Source organism: Homo sapiens, chromosome 6 (genome assembly GCF_000001405.40).
Source record: "Homo sapiens chromosome 6, GRCh38.p14 Primary Assembly".
NCBI classification, from domain to species: Eukaryota; Metazoa; Chordata; class Mammalia; order Primates; family Hominidae; genus Homo; species Homo sapiens.
In genome coordinates, this window is record NC_000006.12 from 102,406,325 (window position 1) to 102,420,207 (window position 13,883).

The window sequence follows — 13,883 nt, forward strand, 5'->3', positions numbered from 1 at the left end:
AACTTTTGCAGTCTTTTTCTCCCTACTTTTCTTTGTCATCTTTTTGCATACTGGAAAACAAGCCTCATATTTAAGCCCCCAGCTTTTTTCAATCAATATTAGATTTTTGAGGGGAGCTCATACTCATAGCTTTAATTACTAAAGATAACAATACTTAACTCATTTATATTTCTTTTTTTTTTTGAGACGGAGTCTCGCTCTGTCACCCAGGCTGGAGTGCAGTGGTGTGATCTGCAAGCTCCGCCTACCGGGTTCACGCCATTCTCCTGCTTCAGCCTCCCGAGTAGCTGGGACTACAGGCACCCGCCACCACACCTGGCTAATTTGTGTGTGTGTGTGTGTGTGTGTATTTTTAGTAGAGACGGGGTTTCACCGTGCTAGCCAGGATGGTCTCGATCTCCTGACCTCATGATCTGCCCGCCTCAGCCTCCCAAAGTGCTGGGATTACAGGTGTGAGCCACCGCACCCTGCCTTTCTCATTTATCTTTCTTAATCAAGCTTCTCTGCATCCTATCATCTCGCCCACTAAATCAATCTCATACTCACCTGCTTCTGTCAGTTTTCATTACTATCAAATAAATGTGATCATTATCCTAGACCTGACTGCCTTATCTAAAGTGACCTCTTTAATCTACTGTTCATGCTGCAATGTATCTTTTTAAAAGTACAAAGTTAACCATGAAGATTGTAATACCTGATAAAACTCTTTCAAATACTTAGGTGTTTCTGCAAGTCCTGCAGACTGGCCACTATGTATTCTTCCAATCTCAATTGGTTGTTTCACCCATTATCTCCCTTCTCTGATTTCCATTCACATCGGACTTGCGTTTCTTCAAATAAGCCATGTGTCCCACCAATAGAGTGATTTTGAGCAAGCAACTACCTTTGCATTACACAAATTACTATAAAACAGATAAGGCCAAAATAAAAACATACCTAACTGTTGCCTATTTACCCTTATTCTAGCTGCAAATAGAATGAAAAGGTGACTGAAAGATGGTAGGTAAATTTGAAGAAGAGAATGGTTGTCCAGAAAAGGTTCATGGGCTTATTGTTGCACCCACTATCGATAAGTACTCCAAAACAAAAATGCTTTCCCCAAGAGACTCCGACAGCTGAGCAAAGACTAGAATAAGTGCAAATAGTTCCCCATTCTCTGGCCCAGTCTCCTCAAGCTATATTAGAAGAGGATAAAGACCATCAGCTCATAGTCTTCAAACTGGTGATTTTAAGTAATTGTACAAATAACATGTCATGATAGTAAAAGTAAGAAAGACAGTCCACCAATAAAATATCTGGGGGTAAAACAAAATAGAATTAGATTAAAAACATTCACTTACTCTCTGATTTGAAAAAACAGAAATATAATGATCACACAAAAATATTGCAAAATTAAAAAGTAATATAAAATATGAAAAAGACATGAACAATCCAACCTACAGAAAGACACACAATTTTTCACAATAAATATTTTATATTATCAGTAATATTAAAGGTTAAAAAGTAGAATATACGAGAATTTGAGGCCTATAAAATACAATATAAAAGAGATATAAAAGATTAAAAGTTGAAAAACAGTACAACTGGAGCAAAACTATTATAGAACTTAGAAATAAATAAATACTACAACAAAACAAAGGACACTAGACACAGCATGAGAATGAATTAATGATGTGGAGGAAAGGTCTGAGATAAACAGATAAATTAGGGAGAGGAAAAATTATGCAGATGAGAGGGATTAGAGTATAGCAGGAATGGTGACTAAAAGGGTGATTCAACATCACAGTGACTCATGTAAGCGAAGCATGGAATAAAATACAAACAAATTTTATATGTATATCATATATATCATATATATCTCATATATCATATATATCATATATGTCATATATGTCATATATATATGAGAATAAAAACCAAACTAGAGGAAACATTTTTATTATTTTTTTCTTTTTATTTTTATGTTTTTTTCTTTCTCTCTTCCTTCCTTCCCTCCCTCCCTTTCTTTCTTTCTCTTTTTCTTTCTTTCTTTCTTTCCTTTCTTTCTTTCCCTCCTTTCTTTCTTTCTCTTTCTTTTTCTTTCGTTCTTTTTCTTTCCTTCTTTCTTTCCTTCCTTCTCTCTCTCTTTCTCATTTTCCTTCCCTTCCCTTTGCTCCCCTTCCCCTTCCCTCCCCTTCCCTTCCCTTTCCTTTGCCTTTCCTATCCTCCCTTTCCCTTCCCTTCCTCCCTTCCTTCCTTACTTCTCCTTCCTTCCTTCCTTCCTTCCTTCCTTCCTTCCTTCCTTCCTTCCTTCTTCATTCCCTCCCTCCCTCCTCCCTCTCTCCTTCCTTCTTTCCTTTCTTCCTTCCTATGGAAAACAAAATCTGTTGATAGAAAGGAAATACAATGTTTCGGAAGAAAAGCACACAGAGAATCGGCAACATCAAGACGTATTCAGGTGAAGCTGTAGAGCTTTGAAATATTGGAACAGAATACAAGCTATCAGAGAGAGAAAAAGAAAAGCATGTTGATGACATGGGTAAATAAAGCAGGTTGACCTTAGACTTCTCCACAATTACATTTAAAGTTTGGAAATAGTGGAATCCTGTCTATATATTTTTGGAAAGTAGAAAGTATGCTTCAAGAAACTGATATTTAACCAACTTTAATTCATAAGGAAATATTCTAAAACATTTGGGTCCTCAGGTAAAATAAAATTCCTAAGAATTTATGTTTTATAAAGTAGAAGCGTTAATAAAGATATAGAATTTACACTGATTGTTTTATGCATAATGAAAAGCATGTTTCCAGATATTGCATAATGGAGTTTGTATGTTTGTTTTGTTCCCAACAAATGAGTTTCAAATGCACAATTTGCTTTTTCTTCAATAAATTCCTATCAGCACTGCTTTCAGCATTCTATCGAAGCAGAGATTTCCAAATACTCCTGGCTTCTAAACAACTAAAGCTAATTTTAATAAGCAGGTGTGCAAAGAGGGATTTACCTGTAACTGATAGACAAGCTCCGATGGTAAGGCTTGGAACCTGTTTCAAATTGGACAGTGTTTGACCTATTTTATAATTATAGTCCTTAGTCAGAAAAAACAGTCCCCAAATATCACATACTTCTATTAATATTTGAGATATATTTATTGGTAACATCCAAACCTGGCTATCTCATTTATAAGAGATATACTTGTCTGACTTTATTTGTAATTGAACATGTATAAGACAACCTTTGCATCAGAATTTTGACATGATTATTATTTCCTTTGTAGCAATATTTGAAAGAAACACAGTTATTTGGAAGAAACACATTTGTGTATTTTACTTAATATTCAGTTTGTTAATTTTATATTTTTTCCAAGGAAAGAAAAGTAAGAAATTTTATTTGAATGGCAAGTTGTAAGGAATGTCCAAGACCATAAAGAGAAATTTGTCTGATCTTCAGTGATACTTGTAAATTCCTAACACAGACATTTTTGAGAATTCCATTCCTAAGCATTAAATCACCTACTCAAAATCTCCACTTACATATCACAAAGATACATCAAGTTGAACATGTTAAACTGGAGTTATTATCTTCTTCTAAATCTTCTCCACATCTGTTGTTAAGTTTTTTAAGAAATAGCACCATGATTTACCCAGTTGCTCGAGCTTGAAGCCTCTGAGTCATGCATGATTTCTCCTACTCCATCAGCTCCAAATCTCACAGATTTGCCTATGACACTCCATCTTTATTGATACAACCATAGTCCAGGTATCGTCACACTCAATTTATTTTGGTAATCTTATAACATTTATTTCCTGCCCTTTCTTTGGTCCAGTCTGCACAGTGCAGAGAAAATAATCTTTTTAAAACATCAGATAATGCCACTTCTCTACTAGGCAAAAATACTAGGCAGTGGATTCTCATTGTCCCAAGAAAAAAAGACAGTGTGTTTCAGATGATTTAGAAGACTTTGCCTGAAGAGAACCCACCAAGCTCTCTAGCAGTAGCTTGTGTTACTTTATCAATGTCATCTTCATTCTAATGATGGGATTTCATAGGTCCTTATATTCTTACTATTTCTATTTTGCATTTAGCTAATGCTATTTTCTATTCAGAATGCTCTTTTATTTGATTTATCCTTCATGTCTGAACTCATTTCTTTTTCCCAGAAGGATTCACAAAGTAGACTCTACTTTTTATTTATGGATAGGTACACTTTTTTTCAGTTCTCCTGTGCCTAAGTCTGTCTGATAATATTTTGGATTATTAAAATGTTTAAATCATATAAATTAAAAAATATATAATCTTCACCATAGTATAATATCTATGACAGCATGTAATGTGCCTATTTTTTATACCATTGAATTTCTACTTGTAGCATATTATTAAGAAATTGATATTTGCATGATTTTACTGAATTTGCTTGAAAATATTTCAGCATTATGAAGCTGTATGCCTGATCATTATATAAAAATTGTGTGATCTCTTAATTTCTAAGTCGGGATTTTACATAACTACTGGTATCATAATGTCATTTACACATTTCATATAATAATAAATTCCCTAAATAGTATATATCTGGCTTATTTTATAAATTATTGGCAGGTCAAACTAAGTTCTATTTGTAAAACAATGGCAATCAAATTTAAATTTAAAATAATTTAAATTTAATTTGATGTTGCAAATATTTATGATAGGACATTTTCAGAGGCAGAAATGTGCAAAGGGGGAGATAAAGAAAAGACCTATTACATATCTTCCCAACTCTCACAAATTACCACTGTTAACATTTTGCTTTATATATACTAATTATAGATTTTGAGTGTATGTAAGTGTTTCTTAGTAAATTTGTGTTAAATACTCAAGTGGGAGGTGATATTGTATAACCTCTTAAAAATTGTTGTTGTTTGATTCATTATTGTAATGTAAGAATTTCCTCTGATGTTGGTTTGTAGTTACTTCTAAAATACAGATTCTTATGGCTGCATTGTATAATATACAGATAAATTATATTTAATCATTTCATTATCACTGGATACCTAGCTTATTTTTAGGCTTTAATTGAATATGTTCGTATATAAATCTTATTGTATTTTTTAAATATCTGGCTTTAAAATAAGGTCCTAAGAATTGGATACCTGGATCAAAGAGTATGATATTATTTTTAAGGCAGCAGTTGATTTATAAATAAACTAAATTTATTATCATTAATTTCAAAGTTATTTTTATACAAAGTTTAAGTATTCTAAAAGAACATTAAGCACAACAGCAATATAATTCTTTATAGAATTAATATTGATAATTCTGTGATTGTACAAAAAAACTTTAATCATCACATTAAATACAGATAAAATTTTTGCTTAATTTTAATATCTCATCTGAAAGAGATGTAGTCCTTGCAGGTGGATCTACAATAACACACATAAAGATGCGGTATTTAATTATATTCAGTAAAGTATATGTGATTATCACTGTTGTCTACAATGTATAATAGCAAGTCTGACATATGATCAATGCTCCAATGAGTTTTGAAATGTTTCCTATATTGCACCAATGATCTAGAGTGTACATTTAAAATGAATATTTTCTAAATGGGTATGTTTAAAGCATGCAAATGTTTGAATTTTCAAAGGAAGCAAAATGTTCTCTCTTCCAATTCTTGAAATATATTCGTTGGTTTTTGCTCCAGCAACTGCAAAGTCAGGCATCTGTTACTGTTTGGTGTGGTGTTGAATTTCATGGTTAGTTAATTTTGCATTTCTGTCTACAAAGCTAATAAAAGGAAAATGGGTGAACCTTTTATATAGCAGAATTCAGAATATCCCTCGGGTAGTTTTTTCTTCATGGAATTCATTTCACATTTCTCTTTTAAGTGAATAAAAGAAGTTCCCGCTTTTTTAAGTTATCAAAAACTATTATGGGTTACTCAAACTTTAGACGTGTTGAAAATAATCAAGCTGTGGCTTCACACCATTAATTCCCCAATATTTGTTTCAGAGATTCTTTTATTATATTCCAGGCTGGGATAATATAAAATTTTACATAAAACACATCTTTATACTTTTCCAGTCCATGTGAGTATTGTCATACACCCTTTTTATTATTTGCAAAATACACAGCATAATAGTAGATAACTGGGTGAAGATAAATTCACTTAACACTATAAACATTTGAATTATCATTTAATATACACAACATTTGCTGATAATAGGCAGAGGCCCTGCAGTGCTAGGGACTGTAAATCCAAAGTTAAAGATCTCAGTGCTTAAAAATTGTAAGTCTAATGGAAAGAACTCTATATATTTTTCAAAAGTCTAGTAAACACTTGTAGAAGTTTTATACAAGTATACTGAATGAAGAGAAAGCACAATAAACACCAAACAATGCATCTGATCTGGGCTTTATGTAGTCTGGCAATTTCTGAAATTAGATACTGTATTAGATGGGATCCAGTAAGGAGGAGAAGGTACTATTTGTATTCCCAGTATGCAAGGTTGCACACAGGGAACTAGAAGCTTACCTGCTGTAAGAGTTGAGCAAAGGAAAGATCAAGGAAGCCACAAGCTGCTATCGAAGGGCTTATTCTGCTGCAACAAATCAACTGGTTTTACTAGAGGTCTTCCACAGCAGCTGTTCTGAATATCAAGAACCTACTGAAAGCTCCCCCATTACCATGGGCACCGATGATTCTGAGGAAGCCCCTGCCAGCCACCTTAGTAGCCACAGCACTAAAACAATTGCTTCACAAGAGCTTTCCTGGAGCTGTTTGAACATTCCCTAGGTCTACAACTGCCTCTCGAGGATAACAGTCCCCCTTTTTCTTCCACTTCACAAATACCTCACTAGTGCCTCTCATTCGCAGGCTGTATCCAGGAATCACACAAAAAGGGGATTGAGGCATTGTAATTTCCAAAAGCAGATGGTGTTGATATTAAATTTATAACTGTAATTCACACAGATAATAATGTTTTTGGATTTGGTATTTGTTAAGATTTTGTATGCAATAACATGCTTTTAATTATATTTTCTTAGCTAAGTAGTATAAATAAGATAGGTGGTTTTTTTTTTTTTTTTTTTTTTTTTTTTTCAGAGTTTTCCTCTTGTTGACCAAGCTGGAGTGCAATGGCGTGATCTTGGCTAACTGCAACATCTGCCTCCCGGGTTCAAGCAATTCTCTTGCTTCAGCCTCCCAAGTACCTGGGATCACAGGCATACGCCACCACGCCCAGCTAATTTTGCATTTTTAGCAGAGATGGGGTTTCTCCATATTGGTAAGGCTGGTCTCAGACTCCTGACCTCAGGTGATCTGCCTGCCTCAGCCTCCCAAAGTGCTGGGATTACAGGCGTGAGCCACTGTGCCTGGCCAAGACAGGATCTTAATAAATGTAAGTTAAATTAAGTGATAGAGTGGAGAAAAGCAATATTTAGAGGCTGTAACTTTAATATATTGCAATAATCCCAAATAAGTTAAACAAAGATGATTGATGTTATTATTAATAATTTCACTTGTTCTTCACAATGCAAACCACTTTCTTATGCTCTTTTGGAGTCACTAGGATAGGCATAAATGAGATTTCTTACAAATATATTTTGGATACGTTCATTTCTCTTCAATTCCACTATCCTAGTCTATACTACAATTGAGTCATCTCCGTTGAGTAACGAAATAGCCTCCTAGTTGGTCTTCCTGCAACCAATTGTTTCCACCACATCCTTTCAGCATGTTCTTCACATTAAAGTTAGAGTGATATTTTCAAGTAACAAATATGGATGATTTTCTATGCAGATATATAACCAATATTCTTAAGGAGATATACATGTAATTAGAAAAGTTCAGTTAAATATTTTTCAAAAATCTTCTGATATTGTTTTGTGAATTGTAGTTGGTTGCTTAATTTATCTGAACCTCTGACTCTATGTCTAAAATAAAGTTACTGTCTCGAAGATAAATAATAAGGATTAAAGGGTATAAGCACGAATAAACAGTCTGATAGATATTTGTCCAATAATTATTTTATTCTTTTCAAAAATATTATATATGCTAAAATATATCTTTAAAAGTTTACAATTAATGAATACCATAAACTAAAATAACAATATGAAGATATTTTTGCTTATTATAATTTTTTATGTTTATAGCTTTAGCAACAGACTATATATATTTAAAGTAGAAAATGTGTTAAGCTTTGACATATGCCCCAATAAATCATTAATAAAAGAAAAACATCAAACATCTCAATCCTTCTTCAACGATGCAACCTTCCATATTTTCTAATTACAAGGCAATCCTTGATCTGTTTTCTGGCACTATAGATTAGTTTGCAATTTCTAAAATTGTATATAAATATAATTAGCACAAGTTATTGAAAATGCTACCCATTTTCATTGCTATACTTTTTCCCTACTGTCAAAAATCAACTAACCATGTTTTTTTGTGGGTCTTTTTTCTGGATTCTCTATTCCGTTACATCAATCTTTGTGTCTATACTTTGCTAATACCATACTGTTTTGATTATTGTAACATTACAGTTTGTTTGATATTCACTTATGAGAGTCGCTTGACTATATTTTGCTTTCTCAAAAGGTTTTAGCAAGTTTAGTTCATACACCGTTAATTAGAAATTTGGGAATGGCTTGCTGATAAATAAAAAGGAAATCCTTAGTTGATTTTATTGTCATTGCATTTTATCTACAGAACAAAACATATTGCATTTATCTACTTATTTGGGGAGAGCTGACTTCTTCAATACTTTTAGTCTTCAATCCATGTATATGGTTTATTTCTCTATTTATTTGGGTCTTTGGTTTCTTGTTTTCAGTTCACAGATCCTGCACATATTTTGTTACTTATATCTCAGCATTTAGATTTTTGGCCTATCACTAATAGTGTTTTTAAAAATTTTCCTTTCCACTTGTCAGTGTTAGTATATAGAAATAAGATGTATTTATACATTTTTTTACATTGTATGCTATGAATTTACTAAACTCATTTACTAATTCAGGGCTTTTCTTTTGCAGATTATGTAGGATTTTCTAGGTTAGTATTGTCATCTGTAATGTGGGAAATTTTATTTCTTCCTTTCCAATATGCTTGTATTTATTTTCTTTGTTTTTTATCTTAATGCTCTGCTAAAACTTTCAACAAAATGTTAAGTACAGGTTCTGAGACAGAACATTCTAGCCTTCTTTCTGCCTGATCTTAGGGGTAAAATATTTCATCTATTACTGTAAAATATAACATTGACTATAGGTATGTTTCAGATACTTTTTGTCAGAATAAGAACATTTTATTCTATTCCATGTTTGCTGAGAAGTTTTATTTATTTATTTATTTAGCTTGTTGCTTTTTTGTTTATTTATTTATTTTGAGACAGGGTCTTGCTCTGTCATCTAGGCTGGAATGCAGTGGCAAGAACAAAGCTTACTGCAATCTTGACCTTCTGGGCTCAAGCGATCCTCCCACCTCAGCAGCATCCCATGTATCTGGGATTACAGGCATGTGTCACCTTGCCTGACTAATTTATATATATATTATATATGTGTGTGTGTGTGTGTATGTGTGTATATATACATATATATTTATATATACACACATATTTATTTATTTATTTATTTATATTTATATATATATTTGTAGAGACAATTTCTTGCCATGTTGTCCAGGCCCAGGCTGGTCTCCAACTCCTGAACTCAATAAATCCTCCCTCCTCAGCGTTCCAAAATGCTGGGATTACAGACAAAAGCTACCATACTCAGCTAAGAATTTTTAACTTGAATATATGCTGAATATTGTCTAATACTTTTTTATGCATTAAATACTGTGATTTAATTATGTGAATATTTAAAGTCTATTAAAATGACAAATTATATTACATTTTAAAATGAACTTAATTTTATCATAGTTTTAGATTTACAAAAGCATTGTGAGTTCTCATATGCTCCAAACTTGTTTTTCTGTATTGTTAACATATCACATTAGTATGCTAAATTTGTCACAGCTAATGAATCAATACTCATACATCATTACTAATTAAAGTTTGTACTTTTTCAAATTACCTTAGTTTTTACCTAAGGCCATTTTTGTGTTCTAGGATCCTATCCAGGATGCCACATTACATTTAATTATGTTAAATCTCAGCCTCATTTTGGCTGTAACAGTTTTTCACACTTTTCATATTTTTGATGACCTTGATGGTGGGGAAGAACACTGCTGAAGTGTTTTATGGAATGCCCCACAATTTGGATTTTTCTGATGTTTTCCTCATGATTAAATGGTATGAGGGATTTGGTAAAGAAGGCCACAGAGATAAAGTGCCATACTCAACATGTCACAACAAGGATACATGCTATCAATTTGACTTTTCATGTTTTATATTCTCCTTATTCCATTGGCTGAAATAGTATTTTTTCAGGTTTTTTTACTCTAAAATAACTCTCTCCTTCCCCCTTTTTAATATTGTACTCAAGAAGGAAATCACAATGCCCAGTCCACATTTAAGAGTGGAAAGTTATGACTCACCTCCTAGAGTGGGGAATATCTACATATTTTATTTAGAATTTTTCTGCTGTGTTTTGTAAATATTCTATCTTTTTAAAAAATTTTTCTGTAGTCATTTTTTATGTCAGTATGGGTTAATGGATATTTACTTTATAGCAACATATTAATATAAGGTAGTACAATCTAATACCATATTACATATATTGCTGTTCAAATTTCCCCAGATTTGTCCATTATTATCATTCATTTGGTCCTTGTATCCCTTTGGCATAATACTATGATTATGGGTTTTTGGGGGATGAGTGAGGGAGCAAGTTTTTGCTTACTGGCATGCTGCAAAATGCTCCAGACTTACCATGTATATTCTATATCACAGCCCTAAAATAAGTCATTTATCCAAGGAGCTTTGTTTTCTGTTATTGGAGAATGGTATTAAGGACCAATCAATATCTAACCACGGGGTGTTCTTGTTACCATTGGTTAATTTTTGACTTTAGCCCTACCTCCAGCATGCAGAAGCTGCCTTACAGGGAAGAGGTCAGACTATCTTTCCCATAAGCTCCCTGCCCTCCCTGCTCTTCATCAGGCAGGGCCCTATTGCTTAGGCCTGAAACACAGTTGCTCAACTCCTGGCTGATCGTTCTGATTGGCAATTCCTCGTCATTTCTCTTGGGTGGAGCCCTAGTCGACAAATAAAAAGCCTTCTGCCATTGCCACTACCAAAGTCCAAGTTCCTCTTCCCCCAAGCTGAGGAAGGAACAAAAAGCCTAAGCACACACCAGTGCTGTGGTTTGTGGCCCGGAAGTTCCAACCCCCAAGATCTGTTATCAGCACTTAAGTAAGAGATGAATCCAGACTCTCAGAGCACTGAGAGAAAGCAGAGTTGCAAATGCAAAGAAATACAAAGTAGCTGGGTGGTTAAGAGCCTGTCTAACAGCCATTACACTTAAATGCCATCTACTGGATTGCAGCCCAAGCTTCAACATCAAAAGTACTTTGTTATTTTATACTACCCTGTGAAACCAAGGCCAATAATTCAACCAAGAATAAAGACTGCAAATAACTTTGGCTCTCTCTAAGCATCCAGAAACAGAGCCAACTGACTACTCAAAAATTGCATGACAGTTAAAGGAAAGTCAGCTTACACAGATGAGAAAGAGCCAGCACAAGAACTCTAGTAACAATAAAAGCCAGAGTGTCTCTTTGACTACCAAATACAACACTAGGTCCCCAGCAGTGGTTCATAACCAGAATGTAGTGGTTCAAATGAGTGACACAGAAGTCAGAATCAGGATGACAATGAAGATCATTGGGATTTAGGAGAAAGTTGAATCTATTCCAAGGATTCTAAAGAATCCAGTTAAATAATTCAAGCAATGGAAGACAAAATAACGATTTTAAGAAATAATCCAACAAATCTAATATAGCTAAAAATCTCACTACAAGAATTTCATAACACAATTAAAATTATTGACAGGACTATAGATGAAGCAGAGGAAAAAAATCTCAGAGCTTGAAGGTCAGTTCTTTAACTCATTCAGACTAAAATAAAGAAAAAAATGATTTTAAAAAGGAAGAAAAACTCCCCCAAATATGAGATCATGTAAAGAGACCAAACCTATGACTCATTAGTGTCCCTGAAAGACAGGAAGAGAGAGTAAACAATTTGGAAAATATATTTAATAATACTGTCCATGAAAGTTTCACCAACCTCACTAGAGGTGTCGACATCCAAATACAGGAAATTCAGAGAACCCCTACAAGATACTATAGAAGATGATCATCTTCATAACAAATAGTCATCAGATTCTCCAGGCTCAATGCTAAAGAAAAAATCTTAAGGGAAGCTAGAGAGAAGGGATGCATCACCTACAGACGGAATTCCATCTTGCTAACAGTGGACCTTTCAGCAGAAACCTTAGAAGTCAGAAGAGGTTGAAGGCCCATGTTCAGCATCTCTAAAGAAAAGATATTCCAACCAAGAATTTTATCTCCAGACAAACTAAGCTTCATAAGCAAAGGAGAAATAAAATCCTTTTTAGATAAGCAAATGCTAAGGAAATTTATTACCACTAGACTTGCCTTACAAGAGTTTCATAAAGGAGTGCTAAATATGGAAAAGAAAGACCATTACCAGCCACCACAATATCCTACTTAGGTACATAGACCATTAGGACTAAGAAGCAACTACATAATCAATACCCCACTGACAGTATTAGACAGATCATCAAGGTAGAATAGTATCAAAGATATTTGGGACCTGGCTGGGCGCAGTGGCTTACGTTTATAATCCCAGCACTTTGGGAGGCCAAGGCAAGTGGATCACTTGAGAGATCAGGAGTTTAAGATCATCCTGGCCAACATGGCAATACCCTGTCTCTACTAAAAATACAAAACTTATCTGGACGTGGTGGCACACACCTATACTCCCAGCTACCTGGGAGGCTGAGGTAGAAGAATCGCTTGAACCTGTAGGGTTGAGGTTGCAGTGAGCCAAGATTATGCCATTGCACTCCATCCTGGGCAACAGAATGAGACACCATATATATATATATATATATACACACACACACATACACACACATATTTATATATATGTATATCTTATATATTTGTATATGTAAGTATATATGTATATATACTTATATCTTATATACATATATGAATGTACGTGTGTATATATATTTATATGTATATATTTGTGTATATATATTTATATGTATATATTTGTGTATATATTTATATGTATATATTTATATATGTATATATATTTATATATGTATATATATTTATATATGCATATATTTATATATATGTGTGTATATATATATACACACACACACATATATATGTATATATAAAAAGATATTTGGGACCTAAACTCTACACTTAATCAAATGATCAAATGGACTTAAGAATATGTATGAGCCAGGTACGGTGGCTAAAGCCTGTAGTCCCAGCACTTTGAAAGGCCAAGTTGGGCAGATCACTTGAGGTCAGGAGTTTGAGACCAGCCTGGCCAACATGGTGAAACCCGTCTCTACTAAAAATACAAAAAATTAGCTGGGCATGGTAGCGCGCATCTGTAATCCCAGCTACTCAGGAGGCTGAAGTAGGAGAATCACTTGAACCCAGGAGGTGAAGGTTGCAGTGAGCCGAGATTGCACCACTACACTCCAGCCTGTGCGACAGAGGAAGACTCCATCTAAGACAAACAAACAAACAAAAAAAACTGTGGAAAACTCCACTCAACAACAACAGAATATAAGTTCTGACTATCTGCCCATGGAATATGCTCTAAAATTGGCCACACACTTAGCTATAAAAAAACTCAACCAAGTTTAAAAAATTTGATATCATACGAAACACACTGACAGACCACAGTGCAACAAAAATGAAAATTAGTACCAAGAA

General features: G+C 33.9%; 1 pseudogene; it reads right to left on the reverse strand.

The window, feature by feature from the left end:
- Window positions 1-1,040: 1,040 nt before the first annotated feature.
- TARDBPP5 (TARDBP pseudogene 5) overlaps window positions 1,041-13,883 on the reverse strand; it is a 46,702-nt pseudogene continuing 33,859 nt past the window's right edge.